The 21,953-nt window shown below is 41.0% G+C and overlaps 1 protein-coding gene across 40 annotated transcripts in view; it reads left to right on the top strand.

The window, feature by feature from the left end:
- RBM47 (RNA binding motif protein 47) overlaps window positions 1-21,953 on the top strand; it is a 207,573-nt gene that overhangs the window by 169,806 nt on the left and 15,814 nt on the right. The window lies entirely within an intron of this gene.

Here is a 21,953-nt window from a genome sequence, read left to right as displayed (position 1 = left end):
TGAGTTTCTTTAATTAATGTAGTTGTGCTTTTTATTTAAATTTGTAAGAATTTCCAATTGTCTCTAACTGCCTAGTTTAATTATAGAGACTGGGAAAACTGATTTTCCTTCTCTTCCTTCTTCTTTTAATAAGTATCTTTTTTTTTTTTTTTTTTTTTGAGACAGAGTCTTAACTCTGTCACCCAGGCTGGAGTGCAGTGGTGCGATCTTGGCTCACTGCAACACCTGCCTCTGGGGTTCAAGAGATTGTCCTGCCTCAGCGTCCCGAGTAGCTGGGACTACAGGCGCCTGCCACCATGCCTGACTAACTTTTGTATTTTTAGTAGAGATGGGGTTTTGCTATGTGGGCCAGGCTGGTCCTGGACTCCTGACCTCAGGTGATCCACCTGCCTCAGCCTCTCTGGAGTGCAGTGGCACAATCTCACCTCACTGCAACCTTCACCTTCCTGGTTCAAGCAATTGTCCTGCCTCAGCCTCCCAAGTAGCTGGGATTACAGGCGTGAGCCACCACACCCGGTCTATTCCCATTTTCCAGTTGAGTGAACTGAAGCTTGGGAGAGTAAGTCACTCACCTGAAGTCACACAGTTAATAAATGGTATTGAACTCAAGCGGTTGAGCTCTGGCATGCAGGAGCTCGAGCTCAAGCACTGTAATAAGCAGCCTCTCAAAATACCTTCAGATAAAAGAGTGATTAAAAACTGCCTTCATGGGCAGGCCTCATTTATGTGCCTATTTCCTTGTGGCATAAAATCTCTACCGAATTCCTGAGACAGTATAGCAGAAGCTAAGCATATCAGTTAAGGCCAAAAGAAAAAAGAAAAAAAAAAAAAACAGTGATGGAAATTTTATAGCTCCCTGGCCAGTACCTACTTTACCAAGACGGCTCAAGGGATATTAACATTGGCATTCAATATAATCCATTAGGGGTTGGTGTGGCTTTTCCATGTGACATTCCTGATGCCTGGGCATGTGTTAGAAATGCCAGCTCCTGGCCAGGCGTGGTGGCTCAGGCCTGTAATCCCAGCACTTTGAGAGGCCGAGGCGGGTGGATCACCTGAGGTTGGGAATTTGAGACCAGCCTGACCAACGTGGTGAAACCCCGTCTCTACTAAAAATACAAAATTAGCTATAGGCATGGTGGCACATGCCTATAATCCCAGCTACCCGGGAGGCTGAGGCAGGAGAATTGCTTGAACCTGGGAGGCGGAGGCAGAGGCTGTGGTGAGCCAAGATAGCGCCATTACACTATTGCACACCAGCCTTAGCAACAAGAATGAAACTCTGTCTCAAAAAAAGAAAGAAGAAAGAAAGAAATGCCAACTCCTGTACCAAAGCTGGCCTATTCATTCTCTGATGGGCTCCTTTCGGCCATGCAGAAATACCACCAGATAGTACCTGGGTATGACTATTTGTACCCAGTTCTATATGCAGGTAAACCACAAAAGTTTTTTTAAATTATTTTTATTATTAATTTTTTTTAGAGATAGGGTCTTGCTCTGTTGCCCAGGCTGGAGTGCAGTGGCACAATCATAGCTCAATGCAGCCTTGAACTCCTAGGCTCAAGCAATCCTCCCACCTCACCCTCCCCAGTAGCTGGGATTTCAGGCATGCACCCCCATGCACGGCTCTCCCACAAAACTTAGTAAATAGATACGTGAAAAAAATGTCCAAAGCAATTTGGTGGATGTTAGTTATAAAAGGAAACTCTTTTTGTAGCTTTGTCCTACCATGTTTCTTGCAAAAGACAGTGCACATTCATTCATTCTTCTATCCATTCATTCTTTTATTCAAACATTCATTCAGTGCCAGGCACTGGGGATAAAATAAGCATCACTGCCTTTGAGATGCTTCAAGTGTAGCTAATAAAATAAACTATAAACACTATTGTTTTAACTTTTCTAAGACATTTCAAACAATGCATAAAGAAGTGGAAAGAGCCTTTAATATCTAAAATCACTTCATAATAGAAGGCGAATTTTACTTTTTCTGTGTTAAAGGACCTGTCTCAGATGGTCTCATTTCTAATAGAGTTCTTTGGAAAGACTTAGAAACAAATGAAATTGATAAAAGAGCCCACAATATTCACAAATACCACAGGATGACGCAGGTTCCTACTCATATCAATGAACTCATGGTGCTTACTTTTCCAAATTTTTAAAGTAAACAAGCCATGGGGTATTAGAGTTTAACCTTCGCCGTATGTTTGCAGAAGGACCTGTTTTTTAAGCTATCTTTTTTTGTTTTTCACTGTGTACCCAAAAAAGGAAGAAAAGAAAAGGGGGAAAAAAAAACAATTATCACCAGAGCTGGAAAGGTGGAACAACATTGAAACAATGCAATGAATAAAAAGAACACATATTTTCTGGATTAAAGTTGTATTTAATGCATTTTGTCTTTAAGTGATCCCCCACCAGAAAGTTCACTTCCTTTTTTATATTTTCTCATAAACAGCCTACTATGGTCATATTGTCATAAATATAGTTGATTTTGAAAATATTTTTAGCTTCCAAAATACCCCACATTAAACTTAAACATTTATAGAAGAAAGTATTTTAACTCATGACTTTTTCAATGTTGAGAGTATTCCTGGGCGAATGCTATTCTACTATAATTATTGCCTTGAGATAACTGGTCAATGAACATGACATCAACATAATCAGGATCTGTTTTTTTCTATAGTAGCAGATATTGTTTCCTAGTTGCAACTGAAATGACTAATGTTCACCAAATAAAAGCAGAAGGTCACACCTAAAACTGAAGCTAATGTTTGACTATGTCAGTCTGTTTCAGAGCCTTTGTTTCAGGACAGGCAATTTGTCATTTGTTTTACAAAAAGACCTATGTTATTTTTGTATACTACTATTTGACATACCACCAGAAGGTGCATATTGTACATGTATTCATGTGTAATATAACACAGTAATAATAGACCATACTGTTACTATATAACTACTACTTGCAAACTACTAATATAGTTTCAAATTAGGAGGAGAAGACTAGCATTCACACACCATTATAATGACTGTAAGTTTATGTTTGGGAACGTTCACTTTCATTTTGTTTTATTTTGTTTTATTTAATTTTATTTGACTTTATTAGAGGTGGGGTCTCATTATGTTGCCCAGGTTGGTCTCAAACTCCAAGGCTCAGGTGATCCACCTACCTCAGCTTCCCAAAGTGCTAGGACAGCACACCCAGCAAAAAGTTCACTTTCTAAATCTGTTTGAGCATAAATTTAAGAAAATTTTTTTAAACTTAATCCCCAATGTGATAGTAAAATTTAAGAAGTTTAACGAATGAAAAATACCCTTGGCTGGGCACAGTGACTCATGCCTCTAATCCCAGCACTTTGGGAGGCTAAGGCCAGTGGATCACTTGACGTTAGGAGTTCAAGACCAGCCTGGCCAGCATGGTGAAACCCTGTCTGTACTAAAAATACAAAAAAAAATTAGCTGGGCGTGGTGGTATGCACCTGTAATCCCAGGCTGAGGCACGAAAATCACTTGAACCTGGGAGGTGGAGGTTGCAGTGAGCTGAGATCGTGTCACTACATTCCACCCTGAGTAAACAGCCTTTTACACACAAATTTTAAAATGCCTTTTTTTTGTTTTTTTTTTTTTTTTGAGATGGAGTCTCACTCTGTCACCCAGGCTGGAGTGCAGTGGCACTATCTTGGCTCACTGCAATCTCTGCCTCCTGGGTTCAAGTGATTCTCCCTGTCTCAGCCTCCCAAGTAGTTGGGATTACAGGCACCAGGCCACCACGCCCGGCTAATTTTTGTATTTTTTAGTAGAGATGGGATTTCACCATGTTGGCCAGGCTGGTCTTGAACTCCTGATCTCAGGTGATCCGCTCCACTTGGCCTCCAAAAGTGCTGGGATTACAGGCGTGAGCCACCACGCCCGACCCCCACAAATTTTAAAATTTTTTAAAATTCTATCTTTTATATTTGGACTCTCTGGGTTTGGTTTGGTTTTGGATATAAAACAACTCTACTGCCAAAAAGAAGTTAAATTATAAAGTATCACCCCAAAGATAAGGCATCTTTATAAAATTACAATCACAAATTTGCCATTATCTAATTGTGATTTTGAAGTAAGCACATGATCGCCCTCCTTCTCAGTTTCTCCATCAAGAAAATGAGGCTGGCCGGGCGTGTTGGCTCACGCCTTTAATCCCAGCACTTTGGGAGGCCGAGGCAGGAGGATTGCTTGAGCCCAGGAGTTTGAGAACAACTTTAGGCAACGTGGTGAGACCTCATCTCTACAAAAAAATAAAAAATTAGCCAGGCGTGGTGGTGAGGACCTGTAGTCCCAGCAACTTGAGAGGCTGAGGTGAGAGGATCCCTTGAGCCTGAGAGGTCGAGGTAGGAGGATTGCTTGAGCCTGAGAAGTTGAGGCTGCAGTGAGCCGTGATCATGCCACTGCACCCCAGCCTGGGTGACAGAGCCCTTGTCTCAAAAAAAAAAAAAAAAGAAAAAAGAAAAGAAAAAAAAAAAAGAAAATGGGACTAATACTTTTGTATAGTATTGTTGGTATATATAGATATATAGGAATAGTATGTACAGGAAATATATATCTATAAATTCTCAGTAACTTGAATCATATTCTTAACAACACAGGAAATTTCCTATCTAAAAGAACACTATTATGAATTTTTTGCAATTAAAGATGACTTTTATAATTAAAAAGTAATCATGCATCAAACTACCAGTTCATATATTCAACTTCTGGCACATAAAGTTTTTCTAAGAATATTATGCCCGGGTTTCTCTCTTAAACCTGCTTCAGTAATTGTAATATTTTAATTTTAACATGGTATATGACACCATAATTAGTTAACAGGCAATATTTAGGGCCTACTACATTCAATGGGTAGGCACAAAGCTCCCGTGCAGGAATACAAAGTAGTGATAAAAAGAACATAATACTTACATAATTAGAAAATATAAAAGAGAACATAGTAGTAGCCATTATAACTACACATTTCACATGTACAGTGTCTTAAAGCACTTTCTCACATAAATGTAGAAGGTAATATCTGTGTAAATGCCCTTTCAGTTTGTCCATAAACATTTGGGAGTGAATCCCCTCAGGTTCTTTACATTTTAATTTTAAAAAGTATCTTGCCAGGCAGATAATTAACGACTCTAAACTGTGACTACACAGTTGTCTACAAAAAGAAGATCCTTGAAAAACATTTATTCTTGACCATCTGAAATAATAACAAAGGGCCTTGAGCATTTACTGTAGCCAGGTACTTTTTTCTTTTTTGTTTCTTTTTGTTTGTTTGCTATGAGGCAGGGTTACCCTCTGTTGCTCAGACCGGAGTGCAGTGATGCAATCACGGCTCATTGCAGCCTTAACCTCCTAGGCTGAAGCAATCCTCCCACCTCCGCCTCCTGAGTAGCTGGAGCCACCACACCTGGCTAATTTTTGTATTTTTTGTAGAGACAGGGTCTCACTATGTTGCCCAGACTGGTCTGGAACTCCTGAGCTCAAGCAAGCTTCTCACCTCAGCCTCCCAAAGTGCTGGGATTATAGGCTTCAGCCACCACGCCCAACCAGCCAGGTACTTTTTAATCCTCCCAACAATGTTAATGATAATATTATCACCATTTTATAGATGGTGAAGCTGAGGCTCAAGGAGAGAAAGTGACTTGTGTGATGGCATTTGTTTTTCAAGTAGTACAGTCAAGAGATAGGAAGCGAGGCAGTCTGGCTCCAGAGCCTGGGCGTGGAATCACTGCCTCATCACAGTCCCATGTTCTCACTTGAACATTGCGATTACGTGAATTCTAGTCCTTCAACATTTCCATTTAAGAATTTAATTCCATAGGTTTTTAAGTCTAAAAACATAGTTTGAATATGTTAACTCCTTTACAAAGAGCCAGAAATAGGCTATGGGACAGTTTGCAGAACTCTTTGAAAGCTTAGAAGAGTGGTGGGGAGAGTGCAGAGGGGAAGCGATGGGGATGGTAGAAAGTAATGATTTCCCAACAACTTTACCATGTGTCTGTACTGGAAATTCCTTCCACTCTATCAGCCAATGTCCATTTCTCACCAATCGTGGTCTTATCCTGTTAACACTGGCTATTGCTAAACCTGCTGTAAGTAAGTAAGTAGCAAAGAATGAGTATCATGGTAGAAAGAGCTTTGGCTTTGTCATCAGATTGACCTACATTTCAATTCTGTAAGTTGGGTCAAGTTATTTGATACCCTCAATCTCCTGATCTTTAAAAAGGGGCAGTATGGCCAGGCGTGAGCCACCACATAATTTCAGCACTTTGGGAGGCTGAGGTGGGCGGATCACCTGAGGTCAGGAGGTCGAGACCAGCCTGGCCAACATGGCAAAACCCTGTCTGTACTAAAGATACAAAAAAATTACCCGGGCATGGCGGCACTTGTCTATAGTCCCAGCTACTCGAGAGGCTGAGGCAGGATTCGCTTGAACCCAGGAGGCGGAGATTGCAGTGAGCTGAGATGGTGCCACTGCACTCCAACCTGGGTGACAGAGTGAGACTCCATCTCAAAAAATAAATGAATAAAAATAAGTAAATAAATAAATAATAAAAAAATTAAAAGGGGGCACTAATAGCTAACACTGATCACACCCTTACTTAGCTTCATTCTAAGCCCTTGGCTATCTCATTTATTCCTCACAGTGATGCTTTGAGATAGCGATAATTATTACTAGTCTCATTTTGCAGGTGACGATAATGAGGAATCAGGATTTTAAATAGTTAGTTTACCAATGTGTCACACAGCTACACAGCTGAAGAGCTAGGGCTCAAACCCAGGAAATCTGACTTTAGAGCAGAGGTTGGCAAATGTTTGCAGTAAAGGTCCAGACAGTAAACACTTTAGATTTCATAGGCCGTATCATCTCTGCTGCTACTTAACTCAACTCTGCCACCGTCCCCATAAATGCAGCCACAGACTATATGTAAACGAATGGCTGTGGATTATGTGCCAACAAAACTTTATTAAAACAGCCAGGGAGTCAAATGTGCAGGTCTCCAGCAGGCGTCTACCCCGTACTCTAGAGCCCACATTTAAAATTTCCACTCATAGAAATGTCATGAGAAATCAAATTACACATACGTGTTCAAAAAAATAGTTAACTATCATTAACTTGGGAGTTTTAAAACCATACATTAAGGAAACTCTTGGAGAGATTATTTCTTTCTTTTTTTAAAAAAAAAAATTTGACCTCTGAGAGCAAAGAACAAGAGAGATTATTTCTAATTCATCTCCTTCCCTGTAGGGAGGATTGCATTTAAGCTGGCTATTCTCTTTTAGCGCTGCTCTGTTCTTAGCATGTAAGTGAAATACACTCTCCAGCCACTTCTCCAGAAATACTAGACATGGGGTGGGACAGTATCCTCCTCTGAAATTCTCTCATGGTGCTAACTGCTGACAGTCAGCAGAAGGTCTCACTCATAAAGATGTTCAATAAAATGGAGTTCATCTTCATCATCTTAATCAATTATTTAACATCATTGTGTATTGCATTGGCAATAACATGGCATATGATAACATAATTAGTTCTAAGTGTAAGAGGATAAGTAGAACTTCTACTGCTGCATAATTTCCATCTGTCTCTAAATATAATTAAACAAGAAATGTGCAGATTTTCAATCCTCGGCTACATGTGATAGCTGGCTTATTCCCTGAAGTCTGTCTTGGCCCACAGTCCATCCTTGCTTGTGCACTTTACTAAGCCACTGTCTTCATTTTGGCACTCAATCAATGTTTGTTGAAGGAAGTTTTGTGACCTCCTAGGGCTGAACAATCTTATATGGTTTTTTATGTTCCCTCCCACCCATTTCTAGCACAGTGCCTTGTACAAAAATAAGTAATCTTTAAGTATTTATCGCTATTAATTATGTTATTAAGAAGGAAATGGGCCGGGTACAGTGGCTCAAGCCTGTAATCCCAGAACTTTGGGAGGCTGAGGCGGGCAGATCACAAGGTCAGGAGCTCGAGACCATCCTGGCCAACATGGTGAAACCCCGTCTCTAAAAATACAAAAATTAGCTGGGTGCAGTGGTGGGTGCCTGTAGTTCCAGCTACTCGGGAGGCTGAGGCAGGAGAACTGCTTGAACCCGGGAAGTGGAGTTTGCAGTGAGCCAAGATCAAGCCACTGCACTCCAGTCTGGGTGACAGAGTCAGACTCTGTCTTAAAAAAAAAAAAAAAAAAAAAGAAGGAAATCACAGTCCATTTAATTATTTGACAAATATTTATTGTCTTTTAAGTGTCAAGCTTTGAGGAGTTTATGATAACCAAGAAGAGACATAAATTCTGCTCTCTCAAAGTTTACATTCTAATTGTAGAAAAAAGGCTTAAAAAAAAACTGCAGTAGTGTTATGTATTATGAAAAGGCGGATGTTTATAATAGACGGTAGATTTGACCTGGCGGACGCTAGACTAAGGCTGACAAGATACAGAACTTCAGGTTTATCTCGTGCTTTTAATTCCTGAGTTTTCGGTCTCTTGTCCCCTTATAAACACTACTCAGGCCTCCTGCTTGCTTAGCAGAATACTTCATAAACAAATTTATAAAATCGTTTCTATTCCTCTGAATAAATAAAACTCCTGGTGCAAGAGCTACTCATTCTTTCACTGAGGACTCAGCCTGAACTTCCTAGTCATGGCTAAAGCTTCGTGGCTCTCCACTGTCTACCACAGAAAGTGAGAGACTTAGACCCTTCACAATCTGGTTTCATTTTCTTTTTGAGCCTCATCTTCTGCCCCATATCCACCTCCTACATTTCAGCTATTTGAGACCATTCCAGCATTTTTGCAAATGCCCACCTTTGCTCATAATGTTCCCTCTGCTCTGTCTCCTCCCTTTCCTTCTTTTTTTTTTTTTTGAGATGGAGTCTCGCTCTGTTGCCCAGGCTGGAGTGCAGTGGCATGATCTCGGCTCATTGCAGCCTCTACCTCCTGGGTTCAAGCAATTCTCCTGCCTCACCCTCCCAAGTAGCTGAGACTACAGGCACATGCCACCACACCCGGCTAATTTTTGTATTTTTAGTAGAGACAGGGTTTTGCCATGTTGGCCAGGCTGGTCTCGAACTCCTGACCTCAGGCAATCTGCCCGCCTTGGCCTCCCAAAGTGCTGGGATTACAGGCATGAGCCACTGTTCCTGGCCTCCCCTTCCTTCTTCATCTACCCTTGCCAGACTGTGAACTCCAAGGAACATGCAGTAGCCACCACTGTATCCCCAAGCATCTAGCACAGCCTCATACGCAGCCAGTGCTCAATTAGTGTTTGAATGAGCGAGGGAATGAATCAATTCATATGCAAATATTGTTTAATCATTTATTTTACCACATCATTGCCTTTTGCCTACAGACCTGTACAGATGCTGACTTTAGTACCAGTGAATTGACTGTATCCCAGAAGCCCATTTTCAGTGATTGTTCATAGTATGTCTTTAAAAAAAAACTGTAAATTTTAAGTAAGGGTTATTGCATTATTGAAGAAACCAGTAATGACATTTGAAAACAGCCCAAGTCTTAAAAACCAGATTGTCAGCAGTTCTCATGTGTCCATGTAGCAGCGGGGTCGGAATTTAAATGAGACAGTTGGATGCTTTAGACTGATTTCGGCAGTGATGTTTCTATGACCCAGGCCTGTCAAGTTTGCTGTGATGACAAGTCAATTAGACAACAGAACCATTCTTAACAAGCCTTTATGGTAGCTGTTGTTTTGTCTGAAAATTAAATTGATAGTGTTTCAACCAAATTAAATGAGTATTATTGTATCACAGAGACACTTACCTCAAACCCTTGAAAAATGTTGCACGTTTCTCAGTCTTGATAGCCTTGACTTTTTTTTTTTTTTTTTTTTTTGGTAGCTACTGCGCCTTGCCATGCTGCCCAGGCTGGTCTCGAACTCCTGGGCTCCAGCGATCCTCCCACCTCAACCTCACAAAGTGCTGGGATTACAGGCGTGAGCCACTGTGCCCGGCCAGCCTTGACTATTCGTAAGAGCCAGATCAAGACACCAGGCCCATGTTGAGGGAGGGCTGTAGAAAATAACAACTTCTTCTCTATTTAAAAAGTACCTACCATGTGTGCCAGTATATAATCATATTACACAGCTCCAAGATAGACTCCACCAGTAATTCTCGACAGAAAGCAATTTTATGCGCACCCCCTGCCCCCAGATTTGCAATGTCTGGAGACATTTCTGGTTGTCACAACATTGTGGAGGTAGGGGGCTTTTGCATCTAGTGGGTAGAGGACAGGGATGTTATGAAACATCTGAAAACACACAAGACAGCCCCTCATAACATAGAATTATCACAAATATCAATAGGGCTGAGGTTCAAAAACCCTGGGTTAGAGAACACCTATATTCCCTGAGCAGCTCAAATTCTGGGATTTTATGAAATTAGATAATATATGTGAAATAATTTTTTTTTTTCTTTTTTGAGACAGAGTCTTGTGTGTCACCCAGGCTGGAGTGCATTGGTGCGATCTTGGCTCACTGCAACCTCCGCCTCCCAGGTTCAAGCAATTCTTCTGCCTCAGCCTCCCAAATAGCTGGGACTACAGGTGCATGCCACCACGCCTGGCTAAGTTTTATATTTTTTTTTTTTCAGTAGAGACAGAGTTTCACTATGTTGGCCAGGCTGGTCTCAAACTCCTCAACTCAGGTGATCAGGCCGCCTCAGCCTCCCAAAGTGCTGGAATTATAGGCGTTAGCCACCTTGCCCAGCCTGAAAGAATTTTATAAATTGCAAAACACTGTATGAATTCAAGCTAGTGTTAAATGATAGAAGCCACTGTGGCTTCTCCTTCCTTTTCCTTTCTGGTGTCTGCCAGTCGGCCTTTCTGTTCCTTGCCAGATCCCTCAAAGGCTTAGGTCAAAGGAGCCAAGGTAAGGAGTGAAACTAGAAGTCCCTCCTACTGTTTGTTCATGGATTGGAAAAACGTTGGCCCGGGAGGCATATGTGTGCTGAATTTGTGAGTTTCATTTTTGTTGGTTTCAGCATTACCCCATCAACCTTTAGAGACAAAGTGTAAGTAATGCTTATTTAAAGGGAACAAGGCCAGGTGCGGTGGCTCACACCTATAAAACCAGCACTTTAGGAGGCCAAGGCAGGCGGATCATTTGAGGCCAGGAGTTCGAGACCAGGCTGGCCAACATGGTGAATCCTCATCTCTACTAAAAAAAGTACAAAACTTAGCTGGGCGTGGTGGTGCATGCCTGTAGTCCTAACTACTCCGGAGGCTGAGGCAGGAGAATCACTTGAACCCGGGCGGTGGAGGCTTCAGTGAGCTGAGATGGCGCCACTGCACTCCAGCCTGGGCGACAGAATGAGATTCCGTCTAAATAAATAAAGGGAACAAGATAATAGTTTCCTAACTGGTATTTGTGTGCTGCCAAACCCCTGCAGAAAATCTCCCCACTCCACCCCTTTCGGGAGGGTGGCTTCAGCCGTCTTGTAGTACACAGCAGGCCTCCCTGAGAACCCACAGCAAAAGGCCGCATTCTCAGGTGTGTGTTGATAGAAACGTCTGGGAAAATTGAGCCTCTTGGCTTTGCATCTGTTTATCATACACAAGCATTCATTGAATGATGTGCTTTGACATAACAAAATCTGTACAATCATCAACACAATTAAGACCCATTATGAATGAACGCTTTCTCAGATGAGCGAGGGGTGGGCAGAAGGCATGGCCCGGAATGTCATTATTCCCTTGTATCTTCAACCTCCCAGGATTTTACCTAAAGAAAGGAGAGTCAAGGAGAGATGTTTATGTGCCCCAAGGGCCATGCTTTTCAGTAGCAAGAGGTCCCTGCCTGTGATAGAAAAAAAGAGCCCGTGTTTCAAAGTCTTCGGCTTATTGTTTGACCTCCCAAGTAAATTCCATGTTCTGCCTCCATTTTGAGTGGAACTCCTTTTCCACTTTCAAACTCTGAGGTAATAGAAACATCCTGGTGCCAGGGGCCTGCCCGAGAGTGGGCGTGTCCTCTCCAATGTTTATTCTACTGGGTGGTGGTAACTTGGACCAAGGCAGTAAGATAAATGCTCAGGGTAAGGCCAAATCTTGGAAACCTTTTGCAGAAACTGTTTTTCTCTCTGATTTCCTACCCCACCCCCTCCTTCACCCCAAGTTTGGGGCAACATCTTCCTTTACCAAATAATCAAATAATTTTTCTGTAAACCATGAGGTTATTCTGAACTTTTGTGAGAGACTCCTCTCTAAAACACAAACTATGGCTTTTAAGTGGCATTCTTTAAAGTAATAATAATAATTGCCAAACTTTTTAAACAAATTGTGTGCCACACATTGCCAAATGTCACTTAGTCCTGGTGCTGTTACTAGAACCATCTTAGAGATGTGGAAATGGAACTAAGGTGATTTGCCTGAGGAGACACAGCTAGTAAGTGGCACAGTCATGACTTGAACTTAGATCTCTGACTCCAAAGCCTTTGCTCTTATGTGCATTGTGTGTGTTAGGTCATGCTTAAGACGTGATTATTAGGACAAAATTTTATGGTATGAATAAGGAACATCAAAATAGAAATCTAACCACAGAGATAGAATTATCTCTTGGATCAACACATTTTAAAACCCTCCACTGAATTAAATTCCAGGTAGTGATTGGAAGACACTGTACCCCACTGTATATAGCTTCAAATTGCAATTTGTCAGTTGGTCAGCAAATAAAGCTCTCCCAAGAATTCCAAATTGCATACTCATCTCAAACACACACACACACTCAAACACACACACTCACACTCACACACACACACTCTCACAGTCACACTCCAAGAGCTGTGAACCAAAGTTAACTTGTAGTCTTATTTATTTATTTATTTATTTTGAGATGGAGTCTCACTCTGTCACCCAGGCTGGAGTGCAGTGGCGCAGTCTCGGCTCACTGCAACCTCTGCCTCCCGGGTTCAAGCAATTCTCTACCTCAGCCTCCCGAGTAGCTGAGATTACAGGCACCCGCCACCATGCCTGGCTACTTGTTTTGTTTTTTTATTTTTTTATTTTTATTTTTTTGAGACGGAGTCTCTCTTTGTCACCCGGGCTGGAGTGCAGTGGCACGATCTCGGCTCACTGCAAGCTCCACCTCCCGGGTTCACGCCATTCTCCTGCCTCGGCCTCCAGAGTAACTGGGACTACAGGCGCCTGCCACCATGCCCGGCTAATTTTTTTGTATTTTTAGTAGAGATGGGGTTTCACTGTGTTAGCCAGGATGGTCTCGATCTCCTGACCTTGTGATCCACCCGCCTCAGCCTCCCAAAGTGCTGGGATTATAGGCGTGAGCCACTGCGCCTGGCCTGTTTTAAATTTTTAGTAGAGATGGGGTTTTACCATCTTGGCCAGGTTGGTCTTGAACTCCTGACCTTGTGATCCACCCGCCTCAGCCTTCCAAAGTGCTGGGATTACAGGCCTGAGCCAGTGCAGCGGACCGGTAGTCTTATTAATTCTAGAGTAAACTCATGCATGATTTTGATCCTAGGTAAACACTGGTATGTAAACATTGATAATATTTCCCAGTAGTACACTGGTATCCTTTGCCCTCTAAAATGTCCCAGTTCAAAGTTAAAATCCTAATGAAAGCTACTCTGAACAAACGCTAAAAAGAGAATTCAAATCCTTGATGATGTCTGCTTTACCTGTTTGCCTTGAAATTTTATTTTAACCCAACAAGTTCAAACTCTCCCTAAAACATAACAAAAATCCCTAGTTCAGAATAATAATAGCTTGATTTGAAGGTATATTTTTTCTGCTTGTTTTATATACAAAACTGTGAGTAAATGATTTATTTCAAATATATTGCCATGTTTATTTAATGCTAGCAGCCTTCAGTGAAGACTCATGCATTTTTAGTGTTGGGAAGAATAGCTGTGTGCTGGGAGGGTCCTACCTCAGGGGATTTGGCATCTACATAGATGGTTGGACATTTTGCATCCAATGTGGCAAGTCTCTTCATGTTCTTTCTGGGAGAGCTTCTGCAAAGTGCTTTAGCCAAGGATTAGGTGAGAAACAGGCTTACACATGGATGCATAAGCCACATCACCAGTGGAGAATCACACTGCCAGACAGCTTACCTGCTATGAAAGGAATCTGGGAGACTCTGATACACTAGTCTCCACCAGAACTCACAGGCTAGGCTTCTCTACTGACTGGTTTAAAGTTGGCTGGGATAACCTCTTGCCTGTTTTCCCATAAACACAGAATCCTACATGGGGCAAGATTCTTCCCTCCAGTTCAATTTTTTTTTTAAGTTTTATTGTCTTTTTTCCTTTTTTTTTTTTTTTTTTTTTTGAGACTGGGTCTTGCTCTGTCACCTAGGCTGGAGTACAGTGGCACAATCATAGCTCACTGCAGCCTTGACCTCCCAGGCTCAAGTGATCTTCCCACCTCAGCCTCCCAAATAGCTGGGACCACAGGTGTTACGCCACAACACCCAGCTAATTTTTTAAATTTTTGTAGAGATGGGGTCTCACTATGTTGCCCAGGCTAGTCTCAAGCTCCTGAGCTCAAGCAATTCTCCTGCCTCAGCATACCAAAGTGTTAGGATTAAAGGTATGAGTCACCACGCCCAGCCTTAAGTTCAGTTTTCTTGTGCTAACATTCCTTGATCACTTAGTGCTAGGTTCTGCACTAAGAACTTTACACAAATCATTTTACTTAATCCTCATCACAGCCCTATGATGAAAATCAGACTCCCAGGGTTCACACACCAGCTCTGATGCTCATTAACTGAGAATCTACTTAGCCTCTCTGTGCCTCAGTTTCCCTATCTGTAGGGTGGAGACCCTAGTCGTATACCATATAGACACTGTGAGGATTAGAATGAGTTAATATGCACAAGCATAGCACTCTGCCTGTCACATAATAGACATTCAGTAAACATTGGTTAATACAGTCATCATTTTAGAGATGAGAATATAGATTCTTAATGATGTTAAATGGCTTTTCTCAAGGTTCACAGCTAGAAGTAGAGGAACTAAGATTTGGACTTCAGACTGTCTGACTCTAGAGACTTGCATTTATTCAACATGCTACGAAGCCTAAACCAGAATGCCCAGTCCCTTTTAAAACTGTCACATGGTGAATGGATGAAACTGGGGAACTCTGTGTTATTTATCTAGATATTTTGATTTGCTCACAGATAAGTTTCTACTTCTGAAGTATACTTATTATTCATTCTGTCCACACTTCTGCCCCAAGCAAGAATCTCAACATTCAGGATATGGTATTTCACACTAGTCCCCAGACACCCCTGATATATTTAAAAGCAAAATTCTGATGGTATATGGGCTTTTAACTTGGGGAACTATGGCCTTATCAGAAACGAATGTTAACAATGTTGAGGTGTATGACCCTTTTGAAGCAGGCTCTGGTCAGTAACCATGAGTACAAATACCTCAATTCTCACCTATTTGGCATTTGAAGCGTAATTCAGTTAACTGAGTTCACTTAACTCAGAAGTCAGCTCCACAAGGACGAGGTCCACCATAGCTAGCACAGTATCTGGCACATAGCAGGTGGTCAATAACTATTTGCTGAATGAATGAATGAATGAATGAAAACAAACCCTCTTGTATCTCTTTTGGAATTTTAAGAAATTATTAATATATAAGTGTCAGGAGCTGAGCCAACAACCTTCATCAGATATTTTCTTCTTCCATGTCTCATAAATTTGGCCATTGGAGTTAAACGGAAAACAGCTTGGAAGAGGGGGAAAGGCAGCTAAACAACACTGTCTTTTTTTTTTTTTTTTTTTGAGACGGAGTCTCGCTCTGTCGCCCAGGCTGGAGTGCAGTGGTGTGATCTCGGCTCACTGCAAGCTCCGACTCTCGGGCTCACGCCATTCTCCTGCCTCAGCCTCCCCTGTGGCTGGGACTACAGGCGTCCACCAGCACACCCAGCTAATTTTTTCTATTTTTAGTAGAGATGGGGTTTCACCGTGTTAGCCAGGATGGTCTCAATCTCCTGACCTTGTGATCCGCCCTCCTCGGCCTCCCAAAGTGCTGGGATTACAGGCATGAGCCACCGCGCCCGGCCAAACAACACTGTTTTAAAATATGTTAGAATTTAAGGCCGGGCACAGTGGCTCACACCTGTAATCCCAGCACTTTAGGAGGCAGACAGATCACTTGAGGTCAGGAGTTCGAGACCAGCCTGGCAAACATGGTGAAACCCCATCTCTACTAAAAATACAAAAATTAACCGGACATGATGGTACGCACCTGTAATACCAGCTACTCAGGAGGCTGAGGCAGATAAATCGCTTGAATCCTGGAGGTGGAGATTGCAGTGAGCCAAGATCATACCACTGCACTCCAGCCTGGATGACAGAGTGAGACTCCATCTAAAAAAAAAAAAAACAGTTAGAATTTAAAAATTAGTCCTGAAATTAAGTTATCATTCAGCATAGGAAAACTATTATACGTAGCAAGCAGAATCTAAGAGCTTCAAGGATGCGCTCTTCCACATCTCCTAGACCAGGGGTCAACAGAGCCGGAGAGTAAATACCTTAGGCTTTATGAGCCACACTGTCTGGGTCTCAACTATTTCGCTTTGCCATTGTAGTATAAAAGCAGCCACACATTATCTTTTCTTTTTTTTTTTTTTAAGGATAGGGTTGTGTTCCAATACAATTTTATTTATAGAAACAAACAGCAGGCCATATTTGGCCCACAGCCATAGCTTGCCAATGCTAATCTAAAGCACATATAATTACAATAAGTTAAGCATTTCATTACATCTTTGAGAGAAGGGTCATGTTAGCTGTACAGTTGTCTTTTTCAAAGTAACTTGAAAATCTTTTCCTTTTCGTTATTGTTGTTGTTGTTTTTGAGACAGGTTCTCACTCTGTTGCCTAGGCTGGAGTGCAGTGGCGCAGTCACAGCTCACTGCAGCCTCAACTTCCTGAGCTCAGGTGATCCTTCCACCTCAGCCTCCCAAATAGCTGGGACTACAGGCACACACCACCATGCCCGGCTAATTTTTGTACTTTTTGTAGAGATGGGGTTTTGCCATGTTGCCCAGGCTGGTCTCGTGCTCCTGAGCTTAAGCAATCTACCTGCCTCAGCCGCCCAAAGTGCCAGAATTACAGGCGTGAGCCACTGAGCCCAGCCTCATTTATCTTTTAATATATCTAAGTGTTTGGCATCTGAATTCATTGAGTAGAGTAGCACACCATATAATTTATTTAATATGGTATATTAAACATGATGATAAGGAGAATAAAACTTGTAGGCCATAAGATTTTCTTGAATGTGTTAACCTGAGTCAGTGTACCTTTTTTTTTTTTTTTTTTTTTTTTTTTTTTTTTTTGAGAAGGAGTTTCACTCTTGTTGCCCAGGCTAGAGTGCAATGGCGCCATCTCAGCACACCACAACTTCCGCCTCCCAGGTTCAAGGGATTCTCCTGCCTTAGCATCCTGAGTAGCTGAGATTACAGGCATGTGCCACCACGCCCAGCTAATTTTGTATTTTTATTAGAGATGGGGTTTCTCCATGTTGGTCAGGCTGGTCTCGAACTCCCAACCTCAGGTGATCCGCCCACCTTAGCCTCCCAAAGTGCTGGGATTACAGGTGTAAGCCACTGTGCCCAGCCCAGTGTATCATTTTTTAATGGCCTCTAATGAAATCCTAGTTTTATCAACTCTAATTTTTGTCTTTTTTGCATCTCTGAACCTTTTCTTTTTTTTAAAGGATTTTGTTTTTACTGTGGTATATTATACATAACATTTTACCATTTTTAAGTGTATGGTTCATTGGCAGGAAGTATATTCACACTGTTGTGCTGCCATCACCACCATCCATCTCCAGACCTTTATTATCCCTAATTAAGACACCCACACCCATGAAGCACTAATTCCCCACTCCTCCCTTTCTCCAGCCCATGGTAACCACTAGTCTACTTTCTGTCTATGAATTTGACTACTCTAGGTACCTTATATAAGTGGAATCATATAATATTTATCCCTTTGTGTCTGGCTTATTTCACTATTAGCATAATGTCTTCAAGGTTCTTCCATATTGTAGCACGTATCAGAATTTTATTCAAGGCTGAATAAGCCGGGCACGGTGGCTCACACGTGTAATCCCAGTATTTTGGGAGACCGAGGCGGGCAGAGCACCTGAGGTCAGGAGTTCAAGACCAGCCTGGCCAACATGGTGAAACCCCACCTGTACTAAAAATACAAAAATTAGCTGGGCGTGGTGGTGTGCGCCTGTAGTCCCAGTTACTTGGGAGGCTGAGGTGAATTGTTTGAACCTGAGAGGTGGAGGTTGCAGTGAGCAGAGACTGCACCACTGCACGCCAGCCTGGGTGACAGAGTGAGACTCTGTCTAAAAAAAAAGCAAAAGAAAAAAGGCTGAATAATACTGCATTGTATATGTATACCACGTTCTGTTTATCATAATCCATTGATCAACATTTGGGTTGCTTCCATCTTTTGGCAACTGTAAATACTGTTGCTGTGAACATCATTATACAAGTATCTATTTGAGTCTTTTGGGTATATACCTAGAAGTGGAATTGCTGGATCAAATGGTAATTCTATGTTTAATTTTTTGAGGAACCACCATACTGTTTTTTACAGCGGCTGTACCATTTTATATTCCTACCAGCACTGCATGAGGGTTTCAATTTCTCCACGTCCTTGCCAATGCTTATTTCCTGTTTTTTGTTGTTTTTATAATAACTATCCTAATGAGTGTGAAGTAGTATCTCATTGTGGTTCTCACTTGTTGGTATGCAATACTTGTAGTTGGTGTAAGAGACACAGCAAATTTGGATATTGCATTAATCAATGTCTGGCTGTAATTAGATATATATGCATGTATGTATGCATTGATTCGTCTCCTCCAAAATTACAACATGGTTTATAAGAACATGTGAACAATAAGATAAATAATACAAACAGCTCAATTCATGTCACTGGGAAAACTGAAAAAATAGAAGAAAACTAAAAAATGAAACTATAACCCAAATTAGATGAACATGAAAGTGTGTTGTAATGTCCCCTACAGTTACTAAAATTGGAGTGAAAAAAATCAATCGTGAACTTCCTAGAGGCCAAAGTAAAAATAAAAACAGGGTCGCTAACATGGTTTGTTTATTACAGAAGATGATAGCATAGGTGAAGAAAGGCTTTTCTTGGCTCATTGATGTAAGAAATAAGCTATCGCTATTTTAAAATATGTAGAGATAATTGTGTTACTGACACCAGCAGATTTCAGACTGAAAGCAAACAGGATTTTTTCTTATATTATTGGGGTTGGAATTGGCAATGACTCCGTAGCCTGACTACTGTAAGACTGTTTTTGTAGGTAGAATAGTAGTTTCAAAGCACAGTTAGGGTGACAGGAAGGCAACTCCACCTATCTCAGCAGAGAGATAAGTTCTATTCCCTTGGACTTTAGTCAGTTAATGTTGTATACAGTACAACAGGTAAGATCTTGAATTGTCTCCTATGTATTTATATATGTACCTGGCATTTCCTGCCTAGGTCACAGATTGTAACTACATGGGTGTTTATGCAAATAGTCCTCTTAAAAATATATCCTTATCTTCCATTTGGAAGAAGGGAAAGGTCTTCATGTTCAGATTTAATGTTGAAATTTCTTGGTTGGGTGTGGTGGCTCATGCCTGTAATCCTAGCACTTTGGGAGGCTGAGGCAGGAGGATTACTTGAGCCCAGGAGTTTGAGACTAGCTGGGGTAACATAGTGAGACTCTATCTCTATTTTAATTGGGATCTTTTTTTTTTTGGTTCCTTTTTTTGTGGAGAACGAGGTCTTTCTATATTGCCCAGGCAGGTTTCAAACTCCTGGGCTCAAGTAATCCTCCCACCTCTGCCTCCCTAAGAGCTGGGATTACAGGCACAAGCCACTCTGCCTGGCCCTCCATCTCTATTTTTAAAAAAAGAAAAAAAAATGTTTTTCAACTTGAAACTACAGAAACTAATTTTCCAAGTATACTACAAAAAAATTTCATGATAACTGGAGACGTCAAACCAGCTTCCAAGCACTTGAAGAGGAAAAAAATAATAAGAATAGAAGCCACGTGTAACAGATATTTTTAAAGAACTGAAGATGTTTATCTTAAGAATTACTCTAAAATTGAAAGAATTGGTCTAAGATTTTACTCAAAAGTTTGGATGAAATTAATAACTGACATTTCTTGAGCATTTATAATATTCTAGGCACCATTCAAAATGCTGTGTATGTATTAACTCACTCCTCTAAACTTAATGAGGTTAATACTATTATTATCATTCTGATTTTATAGGTAGGGAAACTGAGGTGAGGCATGGAGCAGCTAACACTAGCAAGTATTAGAGCTGAGATTCACAAACAAACATATGCAGTCTGGCTCCAGAAGCCACATACTTACCTGCTAAACTGTACTGCCGCTTGATATTAGAGCAAATTAACCACAAAAGGACTATTTTGGCCATCTGGCAAATAAATAGCTCAGATTTATTTTGTTTCATTATAGTTTTATTTTTTCCTTCAATGATCAAATTCATTTTTATTATCCTTGAAATTTCCCTTAATATTCTTGTATACATCTCCTAGTCCTAAATTTTAAAAAATGAATGATACTCCGGGTTCTAATTAATTGATGAAACCTTATATGGCCATTAAAAATGATGTTTTTACAAAGATTTTTAAGAATACAGAGGAATGCTTATAACATAAAGTAGCACCATGTAAATTAGGCGGAAGCCAGGCTTCCCCCTCCCACCTCCTCAAGAAAACATCTAGAAAACAGATGAGAAAGTTTCATTGTGCTATCATTGGGTAGGAAAATTAGGAATAATTTCTTATGTACTTTTCTTAACTTTCTATAAATTTAACTGAATACTTTTATAGTCCAAAAAATGAAATAGATTTCATTTTTTAAAAGGCGAATTGGAGCCTTTCATTACAGAAGTATAGTCTGCAGCTCATCGTAATAATCTTATTGCATAATTTAGAATCACTTCCACAGAGCCCTTGGCCATATAAGTGAAGGCGGCACAGTTCAGACCTGCACTGTGATACGTGGCTGTTTAATTAAAATTTAAAATCCAGCTCCTCAGTCACACTAGCCCCATTCCAAGTGCTCAGTAGCCACATGTGGCAAGTGACAGCTTTTCTAGCATCATAGAAAATTCGATTGCCCAGCATTGGTTTGGAAGAAAAAACAGGGAATCTGGAGCCAGAAAACTTGGAATCAAGTCTGCCTACAAGCTGACACTTGCTGTGTGAAATGGGGCAGTTTACTCAACCTAAGCCTATTTCCCCATGACCAAATTGGGACTGAGGATAATACCATGTACCATATACAGAGGTTAAGAAAATTAAGAGAATGCAGGTGACAGTTCTCTGAAAACAATAGTGTGGTTTACCAGGTAGATGCTGCTTCCCAGTCCCCCAGCTTGAAGTCAGTCTAGCTCTTCAAGGACTGATTCCAAATCTTTGAATGCTTCACACCAAGAATTTTACCTGAATGCCACCATCAAAATCAGATTAGCTCTTATTACAGTTCCTGGACCAAGCCCGTGGCAATGTGCACATTTCATTTCTTCCTTGTAAAAAGCTTTAATACACAGCTCTCTCTATACAATGACAGCTCCTAAAAGTTTTCTTTAATAATTTAAAATCTTCACTGTATTTCCATTCCTACAATTAAAAAGACTCCCTTAAAAAAGAAAAGAAGAAAGCTGTGTTCACCAAAGAAATACATGGAGTTTGTCAAATTCCATATAACAAGGAAATCAGGTGGAGTTAACGGTGCAGGAATGAAGCAAAAGAACGTGAGGTTTTTACCAAAAATGAGAGCAGCTTCGCAAAACTTCAAAGCTGTCGGGGTACTGATGAAATGGAAGTACTTGCTCATTCTGATTTTTTTTTTTCTCTCCTAACTCACTTCTGGTTTTTGCTGCAAGACAACTTGACTATTTT

This window comes from Homo sapiens, chromosome 4 (assembly GCF_000001405.40).
Source record: "Homo sapiens chromosome 4, GRCh38.p14 Primary Assembly".
Lineage (NCBI taxonomy): Eukaryota > Metazoa > Chordata > Mammalia > Primates > Hominidae > Homo > Homo sapiens.
This window is presented reverse-complemented; position numbering and strand designations above follow the sequence as displayed.